This window comes from Homo sapiens, chromosome 1, assembly GCF_000001405.40.
Source record: "Homo sapiens chromosome 1, GRCh38.p14 Primary Assembly".
NCBI classification, from domain to species: Eukaryota; Metazoa; Chordata; class Mammalia; order Primates; family Hominidae; genus Homo; species Homo sapiens.
Genome location: NC_000001.11, coordinates 49,936,020 through 49,956,990, shown reverse-complemented (window position 1 = coordinate 49,956,990; position 20,971 = coordinate 49,936,020). Strand labels below are relative to the sequence as shown.

The window sequence follows — 20,971 nt, the reverse complement described above, 5'->3', positions numbered from 1 at the left end:
ATTGTTCTCCTACTTCTTATAACTGACACTGTATAGACAAATTCTTTAGCCAGGCATCCAAAGCTCTCCACAATCTAGGGTTAATCTACTGTTTCTCCTATAAGAAGAATCTTTTGCTCTTGACAAACTGATCAGTTCTCTTTCAGAGATGTCTTGCTTATACAGGTGGTTTTCAAACTCTTATTAATTGATCCAAAAGTCATTAATTGATCCAAAGGATATTTGTCTCCTTATTCCATGAGGCACCTCATGGGATTCCAAACTCTGGGGCTCCATGAAACACTATTTGAAGACTATTGGTGTTATCTTTTTGACATCTTATCTCATTTGAACCTTATGTTTTAAATGAGGATCAAGCTTGATAAAGATTGTTTTACCAATAATTTATAATTTGCAAAACAAAGTTTTCTAATGTCAGTGTTTGCTTCCTAGCATACTAAGTTGCCTTTGCATTGTAAATTTCTTAAGGGTAAGTCATTATAATGTACTTTTTTGATATATTATGAAATACTTAATACCTAGTAAATGGTTATTTAATAAACAGTTATTAATTTTTTTATGCCTCTTTTTATTTTCTGTACTTCCTGGTACAATGTTGGATATCCAGTATTATTAATATTGATCTAAAGTTAGAGCTGGAGAGAGTAGGTAGAAATGTATGTCACAAATTATTTTGGGCCCAGAAGATTGAAAGCTGTGTTCTTCAGCATATTTTAAAAATTGTTTACCTAAACTTGCCCTGAGTTTTGATATGTTCTGTTAGGTTGTAAACTCCTTGAAGTCAGATTCTATGGTATATTTTATCTCTCCATCCTAATTGCTCATCACACAATTTTTAACATATAAAATAAACATATTTATGTTCTGACATATTTCTGATGAGTGACAGTGCTTTGAGGAAGAGGAAAAAAGGAAACTACAGCCAATAATAACATTTACCTTGAAAATTATAAGAGAATATATGACAAACTACACAGTAAATTATATAAAATATACATTTGCTGAATCCATTTTCCTAAAATCCTGTTAATGAATGAGATATGGCCCTCATGAGAATTAGAATAGATGGTATTTGTCTAATGGGAATAAATAATGCCTGGGGTATTATGGAATATTATTCTATCAAGCCAGAAGGTAATAAAATCTTCCTAAAATTGGCACAGAGTGATTGCATTGTACTTTTTTTTCCAGGGCACACTTATCTGGGGGCAGTTCATTGGGGGCAGAGGTATAACTTTTGGCCACTAATGTTACAGTGTTGTCTCATTCTTCAATACCACTTTCACTACCCAGAATTGCCCTTAGGCTCTTTCCAAACTAGGAAGGACTTCATTAAGAAATGGAGCTCTACCCTACTTATTTCTAATTGAGTTTCAGTTTAAGGTTATAGATATAGGGGAGCTGGGGCAAACTAAAGGAGGGAACATCAGTGAAATGATTCTTTAACTATTTATAAACCAATTAGATCTCATTAGAATATATAGTATTGGGACCCTTGCTGCTTCTGCATCACTCAATTATCTAGGCATATTTGTATGCTTTAAGGAAGAAGAGAAGGCAGAAGCCTCTGGGAATAAATAAGTGCTGAGTATTGGCTTTGACATAGTAGTTGAACTACCCAATGTAATTCTGTTTTCTGTAAGTGTTCTTATTACAATCACAAATGGATTGTTTTATAGTGAAACTTTGTTTTTGTAAGTGAATTATTAGTTTGATTATACTCAATGAAACTTCTGTGGTGAATCTAGATGGCCAAGAATATTTCTCAACCTTGAAACAGGTTGAAATCTTCAAGAATGTATTGGCCTCAATGTGTGAATATTTTTATATGATTCAATAATTCAGGAGTTGATCCATTAAAAATCCTTTGTCTGTAAGCGAGTCACAACTGCAGTTGGGTCTTATATACTCTTATATGTAATAATAAAATTTTGAAGGGGTAAACATATTTCGGGAAAGTAAATCTAATAATCAAATATAAGAGAGGCCTCTTTGAGATGAGAATTGGGTCTCATTTTATGTAACAGAAAGCCCAAAATAATATTAGTTTGAATATGGTAGAATTTACTTCTTATCAATCTGAAAGAGATGCAGAGGTAGGGCATGTAGTAGGTATAGCCTCATGGTGGTAAAACACCAAGAATCCTTCTATATTTTTTTCTCTACCATTTGTAACCTCCCTTGAAAATAAAATGCCTCATAGTTTGAGATGGATAGTACCAGGCAGAAGAAACAATAAAGGGGAAGATGAGTGGATTGCATCTTCTAGCCAAGTCACCTTCCCTAAAGAATCTTCTAGAAAGTCTCATATTTATGCCTAACTGGTCAGAACTTAGTTATAGTGCCATATGAAATGTCTTAGTTCATTTTTGCTACTATAACAGAATACTTGAGGCTGGTAATTTATAATGAAGAGAAATGTATTGGTTCATGATTCTGGATGCTGGGAAGTACAAGATGGAGGGACCAGCATCTGGCAAAGGCCCTCTTGCTGTGTCATCTTATGGCAGAAGGTGGAAGGGCAAGAATATGGTGGGAAAGAGAAAGGGAGGAGCGGGTACCCACAACTCATCCTTTCATAAGGAGCCTGCTCCCATGATAATGACATTAATTCCTTCATGAGGGCAGAGCCCTCATGGCCTAATCACTTCTTAAAGGTTCCACCTCTTAATACTGTTAATACTGGCAATTAAGTTTCTAACACATGCTTTTTGGTGGACACTTAAAGCCTTAGCACTCATCATAAATGGTATTGCCATTCTCACCAGGGAAATGAAGATTAAAAAATAAAACTAGAGCTGGGCACAGTGGCTAACACCTATAATCCCAGCACTTTGGGATGCTAAGACAGAGAGATTGCTTGAGGCCAGGAGTTTGAGACCAATATATGTAACATAGTGAGATCTTGTGTCTACCAAAAAAAAGAAAAATTAGCTGGGTGGAGTGGCACACACCTGTAGTCCTACCTACTTAGGAGCCTGAGACAGGAGGATTGTTTGAGTCCAGGACTTTGAGGCTGCAGTGAGCTATTATCACACGACTGCAACTCCAGCCTGGGTGACAGAGCAAGACCCCGTATCTAAGTAAGTAAATAAATAAATAAATACATATTTTCACCCAGATAAATGGGGTTTTATTATTAAATAGAGATAAGAAAGAATATTGGGTAGGTGATTTAGCAATTTTAGCACTCTGTTGGTTTAATTATGGTGTTTAGATACAGATTGAGTATCTCTTATCCAAAATGCTTGGGATCAGAAGTGTTTCAGATTTCTGATTTTTTTTTTTGGAGTTTGGAATTATACCAGTTGAGCATCCCTAATCCAAAAATCTGAAATCTGAAATGTTCCATTGAGTATTTCCTTTCAGCATCATAGCAATGCTCATAGAGTTTCAGTTTTGGAGGATTTCGGATTTTTGGATTAAGCGTGCTCAACCTGTACTTCTGATCTCTGGGAATAGACATTAAAAATATGCCAGCCTTCTGCTCGATTAAAAAAATAAAATTTCTACTAAAGTTATTTGGAGATATATTTATTAGTAAATTTGCAGTAAAATAGCATAAAAGTACTAAGTATGTTTGATGAATTATATCTTTTGTTTTTTGTATGAAGAAAATGAGGTCCCATTTAATCAAAGAAGTGTACCTAACCAGATAGTGAAAGAGCCAGGGATCTCTTGAACTGTTTAATTTTCCATTTGTGTCATAATCTTGGAAATATTAGGAAATGATATGATCAATGAAGTGTAAACAGATTTTAAAAGATTCACATATGGGAATATGTACTTTAGATATTTCATTTCATTACTGGTCCATAAAACCTAGATGATGACAGATAAAGATTTGAAGCATAATTTTTCAAATATTGTTGCAAACTTCTTGCTTCTGTTCATGGCTATCATTCTTCTTTTATGTTTTTATTAGCTACTTCAGTGTGGCTTGCTTTATGTGTCCAGATTTAGAAGGAGACTGGCTAGCCATAATTCTGTACTACTCATGGAGGTTGGTTTTCAGAAATATCTCAGAGACATGCATTCTTACCATTTATTGGGGATTGCTAAATCATGAAAAATAATGTAGTAAAAGTAGCAGTGGGAGAAATATTTTCAGGTTTTGTTTTGGTTGCTATAGCTTTCTTTGCCCCCAGCATACTCTTTTCCTATTGTTGCTTCTCAATGTACATATATCTTTACCATCCCACCTGTATCTGCAAGCCTTTTTCCATGCACCAAGAAAAATCTCTACCATCATTTGGAATCTATTACTGGGACTGTCTTCTGTAGGCAGTCTTTTTGACTGAGACAAAGAATGTTGGGTTTTGCCTATCCTGTTTTCATTTATATTTGAGGAGGCAGTGAATAGAGGTCAAAAGAATATGAGCTTTGGAGTCAGAGGTGCTGAATTTGGATATTGGCTATTCTTACTTTTTGTTCAATTTCTTAATTTTTAAAGTGGGGATGAGAATTTTATCACAGAGATAATGTTAAAGTAGGGAATGCCATATGTAAAAAGGCATTTTTAACACATAGCCAAGCCTTAGTAAATTATATTGAATGGATAAGTGCTTGAAATTTCAACTTTTTTTTCCTGTCCATGAGAAATGCTTCTGCTTAACTTTTGTGATTTTATATACACCACTTTTATTGATTTTATCATATACTTTGTTTACTGTATCATTCCCCACTACATGTTATGATTGCAGGGTACGGTTGTAACAGATTGTGGGAGGCAGTGTGCGTAGTGGTTAAAAGCATGGTCTCTGGAATGAGGCTTCCTGTGTTCTTAGTACTATCCACTCTCTACCTTTTTTTCAAATTGGGTTATACATTTATTTTTAGCATTTTAATCATTTTTAGGTGTGAAATTCAGTGGCATTAAATATATTCACAATGTTGTACAACCATTATCACTATCCATTTCCAGAACATTTTCATCATCCCAAACAGAAACTCTTTACCCATTAAACAATAACTCCCCATTCATCACTTCTCCCAGACCCTGGTAGCCTCTGTTTTTCTTTCTTTCCCTCCTTCCCTCGCTTCTTCCTTCCCTCTGAAATTCAGCTTTTTATTTCCATATACATTCTACTCAATATAAGGTAGCGGTATAACCATAAATGAACTGCTAAATATCTACTCCTTTCCACAACTTTAAGGTATGATTGATAAATAAATATTGTTATAGTTACAGTGTACAATGTAATGTTTTGATTTACATATATATTGTGAAATGATTAAATAAAACGAATTGATACATTGCCAAACCTAAATAACAAAGGAAGAGTCTCTCTCTATCTTAAAGAAATTGATATTTATTTGGGAGTAACACTGCAATGGGAATACGTATGCCGTAGTAAACTATGTGAATATTCAGGGAGGTTGAGGAAGTTGGAAGTTTTAAAAGGCAAATGAGGAGGATTATGTAAGTTGTTTTTAATCAATTATCCTTGGCTACAAGGATCAAAACAAGGGTGGTGCCAATCTAAGGTTGGACAGGCAGTTGCTGGACAGATGTCCTTGCCAAGTGTTTTCTGTGTAAGGCTATGGTGGCTTTTGTGCAAAGTTGTGTTTTTTTGCAGAGTCTTTTTTGATAGTTCTTGTTAATGGTTAATAGTTCTTGTTATCAGGCACACATGTGTGAGAACCCTCCCTTCATGGCTTTCCTGTTTCCATTTTTCAGGGATTTGACACAAGTGACTCCATGTTGATTCTGACAAATTTCACAGTATCCATTATATCACATACTTACCTTTTTCTGAGGTGAGAACATTGAAGATCTACTCACTTAGCAATTTTCAAACATGCAATACATTATTATTAACTATAGTCACCGTGCTGTACAATAGGTATTTTTCATCCTAACTGAAATTTTGTATTCCCTTTGATCAGGATCTCTTGATTCCCCTCTATCCCCCCCATCCCCTGGCAACCACCTATTATCTGCTTTTACGCATTCAAGTTTTTCTGATTCTACATATAAGTGTGATCCTGCAGTATTTGTCTTTCTATGTCTGGCTTATTCCATTTATCATAATGTCCTCTAGGTTCATCTATGTTGTCACAAATGACAGGATTCCCTTCTTTTTAAAGGGTAAATAGTATTCAATTTTACTACATTTTCGCATTTTCTTTTTCCATTCATTTATCAATTGACACTTGGGTTGATTCCATATTTTGACTATTGTAAATAATGCTGCAATGAACTTGGGAGTGCACATATCTCTTTGACATACTGGTTTCCTATCTTTTGGATACCCTTGCCAGGGTGGGATTGCTGGGTCATATGATAGTTTTAGTTTCAATGTTTTGAGGAAAGTCCATACTGTTATTTTTTTCTTCGTTGAACTTTCATTATGTGTTTATTTAGAAAAATTACTTTGTTTTTCTTTTCAAAAATTTATTTATTTTTAAAATTTTATTTATTTATCTTTTATTTCCATAGGTTATTGGGGAACAGGTGGTATCTGGTTACATGAGTAAGTTCTTTAGTGGTGATTTGTGAGATTTTGGTGCACCCACCACCTGAGCAGTATATGCTGCACCAAATTTGTAGTCTTTTATCCCTCACCCTTTTCCCTCCCTTTCCCCCTGAATCCACGAAGTGCATTGTGTCATTCTTATTTATGCGTTTGCATCCTCATAGCTTAGCTCCCAATTATGAGTGAGATCATGTGATGTTTGGTTTTTCATTCTTGAGTTACTTCACTTAGAATAATACTCTCCAATCTTATCCACGTTGCCATGAATACCATTAGTTCATTCCTTTTTATGGCAGAGTAGTATTCATATATATATACATATGTGTATATACATATGTATATATATATGTGTGTATATATATACACATATGTGTATATATATACACATATGTGTATATACATATGTATATATATGTGTATATATATACACATATGTGTATATATATGTGTGTATATATACACATATGTGTATATATATACACACACACACATATGTGTGTGTATATATATATACACATATATATATACATATGTGTGTATATATATATATATGGCATTTGGGTTGTTTCCACATTTTTGCAATTGTGAATTGTGCTGCTATAAACATGCATATGCAAGTATCTTTTTTGTATAATGACTTCTTTTCTTCTGGGTAGATACCCAGTAGTGGGATTGCTGGATCAAATGGTAGTTTTACTTTTAGTTCTTTAAGGAATATCCAGAGTGTTTTCCATAGTGGTTGTGCTAGTTTACATCCCCACCAGCAGTGTAGAAGTGTTCCCTGTTCACTGCATCCACACCAACATTTATTTTTTAATTTTTTGATTATGGCCATTCATGCAGGAGTAAGGTGGTATCGCGTTGTAAGGTGATTTGCATTTTCCTGATCATTAGTGATGTTAAGCATTTTTCCATATGTTTGTTGGCCAGTTGTATATCTTCTTTTGATAACTGTCTATTCATGTCCTTAGTCCACCTTTTGATGGGATTGTTTGTTTTTTTCTTGCTAATTTGTTTGTGTTTGTTGTAGATTCTGGATATTAGTCCTTTCTCAGATGTACAGATTGTGAAGATTTTCTCCCACAGCATTCTGTTTACTCTGCTGACTGTTCCTTTTGCCATGGAAAAGCTCTTTAATTAAGTCCAGCTATTTATCTTTGTTTTTATTGCAATTGCTTTTGGGTTCTTGGTCATGAAATCCTTGCCTAAGCCAATGTCTAGAAGGGTGTTTCTGATGTTATTTTTTAGAATTTTTATAGTTTCAAGTCTTAGATTTAGGTCCTTGATCCTTCTTGAGTTGATTTTTGTATAAGATGAGAGATGATTTTTTTGTATAAGATGAGAGATGAGGATCCAGTTTCATTCTCCTACATGTGGCTAGCCAATTATCCCAGCACTGTTTGTTGAATAGGGTGTCCTTTCCCCACTTTATGTTTTTGTCTGCTTTGTCAAAGATCCTGTAAGTATTTGGGTTTATTTCTGGGTTCACTATTATGTTCCATTGGTCTATGTGCCTATTTTTATACCAGTACTATGCTGTTTTGGTGACTATGGCCTTATAGAATAATTTGAAATTATTCTAATGTGTAATGTGATGCCTCTAGATTTGTTCTTTTTGGTTAGTCTTGCTTTGACTTGGTGGGCTCGTTTTTGGCTCCATATGAATTTTAGAATTGTTTTTTCTAGTTCCGTGAAAAATGATGGTGATATTTTGATGGGAATTGCACTGAATTTGTACATTGCTTTTGGCAGTATGGTCATTTTCACAATATTTATTCTACCCATCCATGAACATAGGATGTGCTTCCATTTGTTTGTGTCATCTATGATTTCTTTCAGCAGTGTTTTGTAGTTTTCCTTGTAGAGGTCTTTCACCTCCTTGGTTAGGTATATTCCTAAGTGTATCTCTCTCTCTCTCTCTCTCTCTCTATATATATATATATATATTTTTATATATTTATATATATTTATATATTTATATATATTTATTTATATTTTTATATATTTATATATATTTTTATATATTTATATTTATATATTTATATATTTATCTATATTTATATATTTATATATATTTATATATTTATCTATATTTATCTATATTTATATATATTTATATATTTATATATATTTATATATTTTATGTATTTATATATTTATATATATTTATATATTTATATATGTTTATATATTTATATATATATTTATATATATTTTTATATATTTATATATATTTATATGTATTTATTTATATATTTATATGTATTTATTTATATATTTATATATATTTATATATATTTATATATTTATATTTATATATATTTATATATAGTTATATATATTTATATATTTACGTATATTTATATATATTTACATATATTTATATATATTTACATACATTTACATATATATACATATACATATATTTACATATATTTACATATATTTACATATATATATTTATATATTTATATGTATATATATTTATATATATTTATATATTTATATATATTTATATATATAAATATATATTTATAAATATATATATTTATATATATATTGCAGCTATTGCAAAAGGGGTTGAGTTCTTGATTTGATTCTCAGCTTGGTCGCTGTTGGTGCATAGAAGAGCTGCTGATTTGTGTACATTGATGTTGTATCCAGAAACTTTTAAGAAGTCTTTTATCAGTTCTAGGAGCTTTTTGGATGAGTCTTTAGGGTTTTCTAGGTATACAGTCATATAATCAGTAAATAGTGACAGTTTGACTTCCTCTTTACCGATTTGGATGCCCTTTATTTCTTTCTTTTGTCTGATTGCTCTGGTAGGACTTCCAGTACTATATTGAAGAGAAGTGGTGAGAGTGGGCATCCTTGTCTTGTTCCAGTTCTCAGAGGGAATGCTTTCAACTTTTCCCAATTCAGTATAATGTTGGCTGTGGATTTGTCATAGATGGCTTTTTTTTACAACGAGATATGTCCTTTGTATGCCGATTTTGCTGCGAGTTTTAATCATAAAGGGATGCTGGATTTTGTCAAATGCTTTTGCTGCATCTATTAAGATGATGATGTGATTTTTGTTTTTAATTGTTTATGTGGTGTATCACATTTATTGACTTGTGTATGTTAAACCATCCCTGCATCCCTGGTGTGAAACCCACTTGATCATGGTGGATTAACTTTTCAATATGTTGTTAGATTGGGTTAGGTAGTATTTTGTTTAGGATTTTTGCATCTATGTTCATTAGGGGTATTAGTCTGTAGTTTTCTTTTTTTGTTATGTGCTTCCGTGGTTTTGGTATTTGGGTGATATTGGCTTCATAGAATGATTTAGGGAGGAATCCCTCTTTCTCTGTCTTGTGGAATAGTGTCAATAGGATTGGTACCAGTTCTTCTTTGAATTTCTGATAGAATTCACCTGTGAATCCGTCTGGTCTTGAACTTTTTTTTTTAATTACCATTTCAATCTCTCTGCTTGTTATTGGTCTGTTCAGGGTGTCTAATTCTTCGTGATTTAAGCTAAGAGGGTTGTATCTTTCCAGGAATTTATCCATCTCCACTAGGTTTTCTAGTTTCTGTGTGTAAAGGTGTTCATAGTAGCCTTGAATGATCTTTTGTATTTCTATCGTGTCAGTTGTAATATCTCTTGTTTTGTTTCTAATTGAGCTTATTTGGATCTTCTCTCTTGTTTTCTTGGTTATTCTTGGTAATGGTCTATCAATTTTATTTATCTTTTCAAAGAACCAGCTTTTTGTTTCATTTATCTTTTATATTTTTTTGTTTGTTTTAATTTTATTTAGTTCTGCTCTGATCTTGGTTATTTCTTTTCTTCTGCTGGATTTCGGTTTGGTTTGTTCTTGTTTCCCTAGTTCCTTGAGGTCTGATCTTTGTCTGTTAGGGCTCTTTCAGACTTTTTGATGTAGGTGTTTAGGGCTATGATATTTCCTATTAGCACTGCCTTTGCTGTATCCCAGAGGTTTTGATAGGATGTGTCACTATCATCATTCAGTTTAAATAATTTTTAAATTTCCATCTTGATTTCATTGTTGACTCAATGATCATTCAGGAGCAGGTTATTTCATTTTCATATATTTGCATGGTTTTAAATGTTCCTTTTGGAGTTGATACCAGTTTTATTCCACTATGGTCTGAGAGATTGCTTGATGTAATTTCAAATTTTATAAATTTATTGAGGCTTGTTTTGTAGGCTATCATATCGTCTATCTTGGAGAAAGTTCCATGCAATGATGAATAGAATCTATATTGTGCAGTTGTTTGGTAGAATGTTCTGTAAATACCTGTTAAGTTCATTGGTTCCAGGGTGTAGTTTAAATTTTTTTTATTGTTGTTGTTGACTTTCTGTCTTGACCTGTCTAGTGCTGTCAGTGGAGTATTGAAGTTCCCTACTGTTATTATGTTGCTGTCTATCTCATTTCTTAGATCTAGTAGTAATTGTTTTATAAATTTGGGAGCTCTAATGCTAGGTGCATATATATTTAGGATTGTGATATTTTCCTGTTGGACAAGGCCTTTTATCATTATATAATGTCTCTCTTTGTCTTTTTCAACTTTTGCTCTAAAGTCTGTTTTGTTTGATATAAGAATAGATGCTCTTGCTCACTTTCGTTGTCCATTTGCTTGGAATGTCTTTTTCCACCTCTTTACTTTCAGTTTATGTATGTGAGTCCTTACTTGAGTCTCTTGAAGGCAGCAGATTGTTAGTTGATGAATTCTTATCCATTTTGCAATTCTGTATCTTTTAAGTGAAGCATTTAGGCCATTTACATGCAACATTAGTATTGAGATATGAGGTTGTATTCCATTCATCATACTATTTGTTGCCTCTTTACTTTTTAAAATTATATTTTTGTTTTATAAGTTCTGTGTGATTTATGCTTTAAAGAGGTTCTGTTTTAATGTGTTTCCAGGATTTGTTTCAAGATTTAGAGCTCTTTTTAGCAGTTCTTGTAGTGCTGGCTTAGTAGTGGTGAATTCTCTTATCATTTGTTTTTCTGAAAAAGACATGTGTTTCCTTCATTTATGAAGCTTAGTTTTTCTGGATACAAAATTCTTGGCTGTTAATTGTTTGGTTTAATGAGGTTGAAGATAGGGCTCCAATTTCCTCTAGCTTATAGGGTTTCTGCTGAGAAATCTGCTGTTAATTTGATAGGTTTTTCTTTATAGGTTACCTGGTGCTTTTGCCTCACATCTTGTAAAATTCTTTCCTTTGTCTTAACTTTAGATAACCTGATGACAATGTGCCTAGGTGATGATCTTTTTGTGATGCATTTCCCAGGCATTCTTTGAGCTTCTTGTATTTGGATGTCTAGGACTCTAGCAAGGCTGGGGGAAGTTTTCCTCAATTATTCCCCCAAATATGTTTTCCAAACTTTTCGATTCTCTTCTTTCTCAGGAACACCAATTATTCTTAGGTTTGGTCATTTAACATAAACCCAGACTTCTTGGAGGCTTTGTTCATATTTTCTTATTCTTGTTTCTTTGCCTTTGTTGGATTGGGTTAATTCAAAAACCTTGCCTTTGAGCTCTGAAGTTCTTTCTTCTGCTTGTTTGATTTTATTGCTGAGACTTTCTAGAGCATTTCATATTTCTGTAAGTGCATCCGTGGTTTCCTGAAGTTTTGATTGTTTTTTATTTATGCTATCTATTTCACTGAAGATTTCTCCCCTCATTTCTTGTATGATTGTTTTTTTTGGTTTCTTTAAACTGGGCTTTGCATTTTTCTGGTACCTCCTTTATTAGCTTATTAACTGACCTTCTGAATTCTTATTCAGGTAAATCAGGGATGTCTTTTTTGTTTTGATCCATTGCTGGTGAGCTAGTGTAATTTTTTTTTGGGTGTTAAAGAACCTTATTTGTCATATTACCAGAATTCAATTCTGATTCCTTCTCATTTGGGTAGGTTCTGTCAGAGGGAAGGTCTAGGGTTTAAGGTGTTGTTCAGATTCTTTTGTCCTACATAGTATTCCCTTGATGTGGTACTCTTCCCATTTTTCTAGGGATGTGGTTTCCTGAGGCCTGAGCTGTAGTGATTGTTATTTCTCTCCTTGATCTAGGCAACCAGCAGGTCTACCAGGTCTACCAGGCTTTGGGCTGTTACTGGGGGTTGTCTGCACAGAGTCCTGTGTTATGAAACATCTGAGGTTCTCTTAGCCGTGGATACCACCATCTGCTCTGGTGAAGATGACAGGATGGTGAAATGGACTCTGTGGGGGTCCTTAGTTTTGGTTGTTTAATGTACTATTTCTATGCTGGTTGGCCTCCTGTCAGGAGGTGGCGCTTTCAAAAGAGCATCAGCTGTGGTAGTATGGGGAGGATTAGGTGGTGGGTGGGGCCCTATATCTCTTAAGGGTGTATGCCGTTTGTCTTCAGCTACCAGGGTGGGTAGGAAAGGACCATCAGGTGGGGGCAGTGCTAACTGTGTCTGAGCTCAGACTTTCCTTGGGCAGGTCTTGCTGTTGCTGCTGTGGGGGATGGGGGTGTGGGTTCCCAGGTCTATGGAGTTATGTTCCCATGAAACTCCGAAGACTGGTCTTACTCCCACAATGCCCTCTCCCACAACAGCACTGAGTCTGTTTCCAGGTAGTGGGTGAGCACAGCCGAGAACTTGCCCTAGGCTACCAGTCTTCCAGTTGTGAAAGCAAGTAGGGCTTTCATGCTTCCCTGCCTGTGAAGCCTGCACACCAGATTCATGCCCTCCCCTGAATTCTGGCTGGGAGACTTCTCATTTGGTTGGAATTGTTACAAAGTTCTGCTGGAGGTTTTTTTTTTTTTTCCCTGTGACCTTTTCCCAGTACCTCTGGCAGCCCTCTCAAAGGACCTTTGTGAGGCAAGGCAGAAATGGCTTTTTAGGGTACTCAGAGAGCTCTCAGGGCTTTTCCCACTGTTTCATCTACCCCTGTATTTCTCTCGGTTCTCTAAATTGACTTAGCTCCAGGTAAGGTTAGAATATTGTCTTTGGTGTAGACCTTCAGGTTCCCCAGTCAGGGTGTGTGTTCAGGGGCGGATGATCCCCCTTTTACACGTTTACAGTTTGGGCACTTAGAGTATTTGGGATGTTTCCCAGGTCCTGCAGGAGCAATCCGCTTCCTTTAGAGGGTTGGTGGGTTCTCTTGGCTTTCCTGATTTATTCCTGCAGTAGTTCTAGAGCAAAAGTTCATGATGCAGTACTTCACATGCTGCTCTGTCCATCGGAGTGGGAACTGCAATCTACTCCTGCCTCCCATCTGCCATGATCCTCTCCATACTGTTTTTCATAATGGCCATATTAACTTACATTCCCAACAGTGTGCACAAGGATTTCCTTTTCTTCACATTTTTGGCGACACTTGTTATCCTTTGTCTCTTTGCTCATAACCATTCTAACAGCTGTGAGGTGATATTTCATTATGATTTTAATTTTCATTTGCCTGATGATTAGTGATGTTGAGCACCTTTTTATATACCTGCCTGCTGGTCATTTGAATGACTTCTTTAGAGAAATGTCTATTCAGGTCCTTGGCTCATTTTGAAAATGGTTATTTCTATTTATTGATTGATATTGAATTATTTGAGTTGCCTATGTATTTTGTATATTAACCTCTTATCAGATATATGGTTTGCAAATATTTGCTTGTATTCTATAGGTTGTCTCGTCACTCAGTTGATTTTTTTGATTTGATACAATCCCATTTGTCTATTTTTTGCTTTTGTTGTCTGTGCTTTTGATACCATGTACAAAAATTCATTACTCAGACTAAGGTCAAGAAGCTTTCCCTCTATGTTTTATTGTTTTACAGTTTCACATTGTATGTTTAAGTCTTTAATTCATTTTGAGTTGATTTTTGTGTACGTATGGTACAAGGGATACAATTTCATTCTTTTGCATGTGGATAGACAATCTTTCCAACACTATTTATTGAAGAAACTGTTATTTTATTATGGTATGTTCTTGACACCTTTGTTGAACATCAGTTGATAGTAAATATGTGGATTTATTTCTGGGATGTTTTCTGTCTTGTTGGTCTATATGTCTATTTTTATGCTAGTGCCATGTTGCTTGATTACTACAGGTTTATCATATGTTTTGAAATCAGGTAGTGTAATGCCTTCCCTTTGTTTTTTCGCTCAAGTTTGCTTTGGCTATTTGATGTCTTATGTGGTTCCATAAGAATTTTAGGATTGTTTTTTCTATTCTTGTGAAAAATGTCATTGTAATTTTCATAGGGGTTGCTTTGAATTCATAGATTGCTTTGTTTAGTATGGACATTTTGGCAATATTAATTTTCCCGGTCTATCGACATGAGGTTTATATTTATTTGTGTCTTCTTCAGTTTTACTTGTTCACTTTGTAGTTTTCAGTGTACAAATATGTTATTTACTTGAATGAATTTATTTCTAAGTATTTTTGATGCTATTATAAATGTGATTGATTTGTTTTTTGTATAATCATTTTCAGTGTATGAAGATACTGATTTTCATATGTTGATTATTTATTTTAACATTTTACTTAATTACTTTATTAGTTGTTATAACTTCTGGTGGTGTTTTAAGGGTTTTCTATGTAAAAGATCATATAATTTTACTTACATTCCATTTTGGATTCCTTTTATTTCTTTTTCTTGCCTAATTACTCTGGCTTGTACTGTCAGTACTGTATTGAATACAAGTGATGAGAATGGGTATCCTTGTGTTGTTCCTGACCTTGGAGGAAAAGCTTTCAATTTTTCTCTGTTGAGTATGGTATTAGCTGTGGGCTTGCCATATATGGTCTTTAATATGTTGAGGTTTATTTCTTCTATACTTAATTTTTGAGAGTTTTTTTAAAATCATGAACAGATTTTTAATTTTGTCACATTTTCTTTCTGCATCTATTGAGATGATCATATAATTTTTTATCTTTTATTCTATTAATGGGTACATCACATTTATTAATTTTCTTATGTTGAACTCTTCTTGTATCCTAGTTATAAAGCCAACTTGATAATAGTGTATGATACTTTTAATGTGTTGTTGAATCTGGTTTGTTAGTGTTTGGTTGAGGATTTTTGCATCATGTTCATCCTGGATATTGGCCTATATTTTTCTTTTCTTGTAGTAATTTGCTTTGACTTTGGTGTCAGGGTAATGATGATACAAAAATGAATTTGGTAGTATTCTCTCCTGTACATTCTTGAGAAAATAGGTTTGTAAAATGAGTTTGGAAGTGCTCTCCTCTGTGAAGTTTTTGGGAAGACTGAGAAGGATTAGCATTACTTCTGCAAATGTTTGGTAGAATTCACCAGTGAAGTAATCTGGTTCTATACTTTTCTTTGACGGGAGACTTAAAAAACTACTGATTAAATCTACTTGTTATTGGTCTGTTCAGATTTTCTATTTTTTCATAATTCAGTCTCTAGGTTGTCTTCAGTTATTAGGTAGGTTGTATATGTCTAGGGATTACCAGTTTCTCCTACATTATCCAATTTGTTGGCTCATAATTGTTCATAGTACTCTTTTATGATCCTTTGTATTTCTGTGGTGTCAGTTGTAATGTCTGCTCTTTCATTTATATTTTTATTTATTTGAAACTTTTTTCCTTCTCACTTAAGCTAAAAGTTTAATAATTTTATTTTCTCAAAAATTCAACACTTAGTTTTGTGAATCTTTTCTATTTTTTTTATTATTATTATACTTTAAGTTTTAGGGTACATGTGCACAATGTGCAGGTTAGTTACATATGTATACATGTGCCATGCTGGTGTGCTGCACCCATTAACTCGTCATTTAGCATTAGGTATATCTCCTAATGCTATCCCTCCCCCATACCCCCACCCCACAACAGTCCCCAGAGTGTGATGTTCCCCTTCCTGTGTCCATGTGTTCTCATTGTTCAATTCCCACCTATGAGTGAGAACATGCGGTGTTTGGGTTTTTGTTCTTGTGATAGTTTACTGAGAATGATGATTTCCAGTTTCATCCATGTCCCTACAAAGGACATGAACTCATCATTTTTTATGGCTGCATAGTATTCCATGGTGTATATGTGCCACATTTTCTTAATCCAGTCTATCATTGATGGACATTTGGGTTGGTTCCAAGTCTTTGCTATTGTGAATAATGCCGCAATAAACATATGTGTGCATGTGTCTTTATAGCAGCATGATTTATAGTCCTTTGGGTATATACCCAGTAATGGGATGGCTGGGTCAAATGGTATTTCTAGTTCTAGATCCCTGAAGAATCGCCACACTGACTTCCACAATGGTTGAACTAATTACAGTCCCACCAACAGTGTAAAAGTGTTCCTATTTCTCCACATCCTCTCCAGCACCTGTTGTTTCCTGACTTTTTAATGATGGCCATTCTAACTGGTGTGAGATGGTATCTCATAGTGGTTTTGATTTGCATTTCTCTGATGGCCAGTGATGATGAGCATTTTTTCATGTGTCTGTTGGCTGCATAAATGTCTTCTTTTGAGAAGTGTCTGTTCATGTCCTTCACCCACTTTTTGATGGGGTTGTTTGTTTTTTTCTTGTAAATTTGTTTGAGTTCATTGTAGATTCTGGATATTAGCCCTTTGTCAGATGAGTAGGTTACGAAAATTTTCTCCCATTTTATAGGTTGCCTATTCACTCTGATGGTAGTTTCTTTTGCTGTGCAGAAGCTCTTTAGTTTAATTAGATCCCATTTGTCAATTTTGGCTTTTGTTGCCATTGCTTTTGGTGTTTTAGACATGAAGTACTTGCCCATGCCTATGTCCTGAATGGTAATGCCTAGGTTTTCTTCTAGGTTATTCATGGTTTTAGGTCTAACGTTTAAGTCTAATCCATCTTGAATTAATTTTTGTATAAGGTGTAAGGAAGGGATCCAATTTCAGCTTTCTACATATGGCTAGCCAGTTTTCCAAGCACCGTTTATTAAATAGGGAATCCTTTCCCCATTGCTTGTTTTTCTCAGGTTTGTCAAAGATCAGATAGTTGTAGATATGCGGCATTATTTCTGAGGGCTCTGTTCTGTTCCATTGATCTATATCTCTGTTTTGGTACCAGTACCATGCTGTTTTGGTTACTGTAGCCTTGTAGTATAGTTTGAAGTCAGGTAGCGTGATGCCTCCAGCTTTGTTCTTTTGGCTTAGGATTGGCTTGGCAATGTGGGCTCGTTTTTGGTTCCATATGAACTTTAAAGTAGTTTTTTCCAATTCTGTGAAGAAAGTCATTGGTAGCTTGATGGGGATGGCATTGAATCTATAAATTACCTTGGGCAGTATGGCCATTTTCACGATATTGATTCTTCCTACCCATGAGCATGGAATGTTCTTCCATTTGTTTGTATCCTCTTTTATTTCATTGAGCAGTGGTTTGTAGTTCTCCTTGAAGAGGTCCTTCACGTCCGTTGTAAGTTGGATTCCTAGGTATTTTATTCTCTTTGAAGCAATTGTGAATGGGAGTTCACTCATGATTTGGCTCTCTGTTTGTCGGTTATTGGTGTATAAGAATGCTTGTGATTTTTGTACATTGATTTTGTATCCTGAGACTTTGCTGAAGTTGCTTATCAGCTTAAGGAGATTTTGGGCTGAGCCAGTGGGGTTTTCTAGATATACAATCATGTCGTCTGCAAAGAGGGACAATTTGACTTCCTCTTTTCCTAATTGAATACCCTTTATTTCCTTCTCCTGCCTAATTGCCCTGGCCAGAACTTCCAACACTATGTTGAATTTATTGAGAGTTTTTAGCACGAAGCGTTGTTGAATTTTCTTAAAGGTCTTTTCTGCATCTATTGAGATAATCATGTGGTTTTTGTCTTTGGTTCTGTTTATATGCTGGATTACGTTTATTGATTTGCGTATATTGAACCAGCCTTGCATCCCGGGGATGAAGCCCACTTGATCATGGTGGATAAGCTTTTTGATGTGCTGTTGGATTCGGTTTGCCAGTATTTTATTGAGGATTTTTGCATCAATGTTCATCAAGGATATTGGTTTAAAATTCTCTTTTTTGGTTGTGTCTCTGCCCGGCTTTGGTATCAGGATGTGCTGTCCTCATAAAATGAGTTAGGGAAGATTCCCTCTTTTTCTGTTGATTGGAATAGTTTCAGAAAGAATGGTACCAGTTCCTCCTTGTACCTCTGGTAGAATTCGGCTGTGAATCCATCTGGTCCTGGACTATTTTTGGTTGGTAAGCTATTGATTATTGCCACAATTTCAGAGCCTGTTATTGGTCTATTCAGGGATTCAACTTCTTCCTGGTTTAGTCTTGGGAGGGTGTATGTGTCGAGGAATTTATCCATTTCTTCTAGATTTTCTGGTTTATTTGCGTAGAGTTGTTTGTAGTATTCTCTGATGGTAGTTTGTATTTCTGTGGGATTGGTGGTGATATCCCCTTTATCATTTTTTATTGCATCTATTTGATTCTTCTCTCTTTTCTTCTTTATTAGTCTTGCTAGCGGTCTATCACTTTTGTTGATCCTTTCAAAAAACCAGCTCCTGGATTCATTAATTTTTTCAAGGGCTTTTTTTGTCTCTATTTTCTTCAGTTCTGCTCTGATTTTAGTTATTTCTTGCCTTCTGCTGGCATTTGAATGTGTTTGCTCTTGCTTTTCTAGTTCTTTTAATTGTGATGTTAGGGTGTCAATTTTGGATCTTTCCTGCTTTCTCTTGTGGGGATTTAGTGCTATAAATGTATAATCCCTCTACACACTGCTTTGAATGTGTCCCAGACATTCTGGTATGTTGTGTCTTTGTTCTCGTTGGTTTCAAAGAACATCTTTATTTCTGCCTTCATTTCATTATGTACCCAGTAGTCATTCAGGAGCAGGTTGTTCAGTTTCTACGTAGTTGAGCTGTTTTGAATGAGATTCTTAATCCTGCGTTCTAGTTTGATCGCACTGTGGTCTGAGGGACAGTTTGTTATAATTTCTGTTCTTTTACATTTGCTGAGGAGTGCTTTACTTCCAACTATGTGGTCAATTTTGGAATAGGTGTGGTGTGGTGCTGAAAAAAATGTATATTCTGTTGATTTGGGGTGGAGAGTTCTGTAGATGTCTATTAGGTCTGCTTGGTGCAGAGCTGAGTTCAATTCCTGGGTATCCTTGTTAACTTTCTGTCTCGTTGATCTGTCTGTTGTTGACAGTGGGGTGTTAAAGTCTCCCATTATTATTGTGTGGGAGTCTAAGTCTCTTTGTAGGTCTCTAAGGACTTGCTTTATGAATCTGGGTGCTCCTGTATTGGGTGCATATATATTTAGGATAGTTAGCTCTTCTTGTTGAATTGATCCCTTTACCATTATGTAATGGCCTTTTTTGTCTCTTTTGATCTTTGTTGGTTTAATGTCTGTTTTATCAGAGACTAGGATTGCAACCCTTGCCTTTTTTTGTTTTCCATTTGCTTGGTAGATCTTCCTCCATCCTTTTATTTTGAGCCTATGTGTGTCTCTGCACATGAGATGGGTTTCCTGAATACAGCACACTGATGGGTCTTGACTCTTTATTCAATTTGCCAGTCTGTGTCTTTTAATTGGAGCATTTAGTCCATTTACATTTAAAGTTAATATTGTTATGTGTGAATTTGATCCTGTCATGATGATGTTAGCTGGTTATTTTGCTCGTTAGTTGATGCAGTTTCTTCCTAGCCTCGATGGTCTGTATAATTCGGCATGATTTTGTAGTGGCTGGTACCGGTTGTTCCTTTCCTTGTTTAGTGCTTCCTTCAGGAGCTCTTTTATGGCAGGCCTTGTGGTGACAAAATCTCTCAGCATTTGCTTGTCTGTAAAGGATTTTATTTCTCCTTCACTTTTATGAAGCTTAGTTTGGCTGGATATGAAATTCTGGGTTGAAAATTCTTTTCCTTAAGAATGTTGAATATTGGCTCCCACTCTCTTCTGGCTTGTAGAGTTTCTGCCGAGAGATCCGCTGTTAGTCTGATGGGCTTCCCTTTGTGGGTAACCCGACCTTTCTCTCTGGCTGCCCTTAACATTTTTTCCTTCATTTCAACTTTGGTGAATCTGACAATTATGTGTCCTGGAGTTGCTCTTCTCGAGGAGTATCTTTGTGGCGTTCTCTGTATTTCCTGAATCTGAATGTTGGCCTGCCTTGCTAGTTTGGGGAAGTTCTCCTGGGTAATGTCCTGCAGAGTGTTTTCCAACTTGGTTCCATTCTCCCCGTCACTTTAAGGTACCCCAATCAGACGCAGATTTGGTCTTTTCACATAGTCCCATATTTCTTGGAGGCTTTGTTCGTTTCTTTTTATTCTTTTTTCTCTAAACTTCCCTTCTTGCTTCATTTCATTCATTTCATCTTCCATCGCTGATACCCTTTCTTGCAGTTGATCGCATCGGCTCCTGAGGCTTCTGCATTCTTCACGTAGTTCTCGAGCCTCGGCTTTCAGCTCCATCAGCTCCTTTAAGCACTTCTGTATATTGGTTATTCTAGTTATACATTCATCTAAATTGTTTTCAAACTTTTTATCTTCTTTGCCTTTGGTTTGAATTTCCTCCTGTAGCTTGGAGTAGTTTGATCGTCTG

At 35.1% G+C, this 20,971-nt stretch overlaps 1 protein-coding gene across 10 annotated transcripts in view; it reads left to right on the top strand.

Annotated features, from left to right (window-relative positions):
* Nucleotides 1–20,971, top strand: part of AGBL4 (AGBL carboxypeptidase 4) — a 1,501,444-nt gene that overhangs the window by 66,964 nt on the left and 1,413,509 nt on the right. The gene's annotated exons all lie outside the window — the stretch shown is intronic.